This window comes from Homo sapiens, chromosome 2 (genome assembly GCF_000001405.40).
Source record: "Homo sapiens chromosome 2, GRCh38.p14 Primary Assembly".
Taxonomy (NCBI): Eukaryota; Metazoa; Chordata; class Mammalia; order Primates; family Hominidae; genus Homo; species Homo sapiens.
Genome location: NC_000002.12, coordinates 236691533 through 236693201, shown reverse-complemented (window position 1 = coordinate 236693201; position 1669 = coordinate 236691533). Strand labels below are relative to the sequence as shown.

The window sequence follows — 1669 nt, the reverse complement described above, 5'->3', positions numbered from 1 at the left end:
TCTCTCTAAGGACAGGATGCACAGGGGAGATGCAGGTGACTTCCCTGAGGAGCCCAGGACACAGGGTCCCAGGGAAAGTGAGTGGCAGGATCTGGGGAGACGGTGTACCATGCACAGGCATGATGGGGCCAATATCAGTTGCAAGTTCACCACGGACATGGATGCGTTGGGCTGCCCTGGCCTAGTGACATGAAATACAGCAGAAATGTCACAGACAAGGGCCTGAGGCTCATGTTGACCATCGGCCCGACTGCAGTGTCCCAGCCTAGCACTTGTAAGTTCATGGCTTTAGGCTTTGTCTTTTTTTTTTTTTTTTAATGGAGTCTTGCTTTGTTGCCCAGGCTAAAGTGCAACGGCACGATCTTGGCTCACTGCAACCTCAGCCTCCCAGGTTCAAGCAACTCTCCTGCCTCAGTCTCCTGAGTAGCTGGAATTACAGGCACCTGCCACCTCGCCCAGCTAATTCTTTGTAATTTTTTTTAGTAGAGACGGGGTTTCACTATGTTGGCCAGGCTGGTCTCCAACTCCTGACCTCAAGTGATCCGCCCGCCTCGGCCTCCCAAAGTGCCGGGATTACAGGCGTGAGCCACTGAGCCCAGCCAGACTTGGTGTTTATCTAGGTATCATCTTCCTAATATACGTTCAGTTGGAACAGCCTTCCATCAATATTAGTTTAAAAAAAAAAAAACCCTGCATAATTAACCCTTTCATAAGCATCTTCTAAATTCCAATTGGCCTCACCTCTGGGAAGTGAATGTGTGGCCAGGCTGTCCGCAAGCCCTCACTGTGGCCCTGGCAAGCACCTCCTCTTTATTTGGTGCCATTTCTGAGAGACTGAGGGTATTTTGCTGCCAGTGATACCCAGAGCTCCACTATACCAGGTCATCTTCCTTTTTTTTTTTTTTTTTTTTTACCAGCTTTGCTTGTTACAGCACAGGTCATACATTCTAGGAACAGTCTGCAGCTGAAAGCCATCTCTGAAATTCTCTCCCTGAGCCTGACCTGGTACACAGGAGGACACCACAGCCAGGACAGGACCTGCTCAGGCTCTCCAGTGGTAGACACGAAACAGCTGCATCCCAGGGTCAAGGGCCCGAGGGCCCATGCTTGCCCCGGGTGGGAGAAAACATGACGAGCCTGTGGCAGTGAGAAGGAGGCCACACACAGGTCGGGGCATGTTCTGCTCTGGGGTTGAGTCAGAAGTGCAGAACCCCAGGGCCCAGACGTGGAATCTGTGGTAGAAATGGATCCCCCTGGGGGCCTTTCAAGCAGCCTGCCCCATGGGGGTGAACCCTCTGGCAGGAGCTGAGCAGGATCAGGAGATGGCCAAGGGGAGGCAGTGCCCACAGCCAAGGAGCCACAGGGGAGAAAGATAAGGGAGACTGTATTCATTTCCTGTCACTCCTGCAACAATGACCTCAGACAAAGTGGCTTAAAACAATGCTCATGTATTACCCGGTGGTTCTGGGGTTCAGAAGCCTGGAATGGGCCTCAATGGGATAAAGCAAATGTGCTGGCTGGGCTGGTTCCCTCTGGAGGCTCTGGGGGAGAATCTATTTCTTTGCCTTGTCCAGCTTCCAGAAGCCACTTGTGTTCCCTGGTCCGTGGCGCCTTCCTCCATCTTCAAAGCCGGCTACAGTGGCCAAGACCTTCTCACCTGCCTCTCCTT

At 52.5% G+C, this 1669-nt stretch overlaps 2 annotated features.

The window, feature by feature from the left end:
- Positions 668-1168: an enhancer, noted in NCBI's record as "H3K4me1 hESC enhancer chr2:237600677-237601177 (GRCh37/hg19 assembly coordinates)". NCBI's record gives its function as "activates a minimal SCP1, AML or CMV promoter by ChIP-STARR-seq in naive H9 embryonic stem cells {active_cell/tissue: H9 hESC(naive)}" and the evidence as "EXISTENCE:reporter gene assay evidence [ECO:0000049][PMID:30033119]".
- Positions 1169-1669: an enhancer, noted in NCBI's record as "H3K4me1 hESC enhancer chr2:237600176-237600676 (GRCh37/hg19 assembly coordinates)". NCBI's record gives its function as "activates a minimal SCP1, AML or CMV promoter by ChIP-STARR-seq in naive H9 embryonic stem cells {active_cell/tissue: H9 hESC(naive)}" and the evidence as "EXISTENCE:reporter gene assay evidence [ECO:0000049][PMID:30033119]".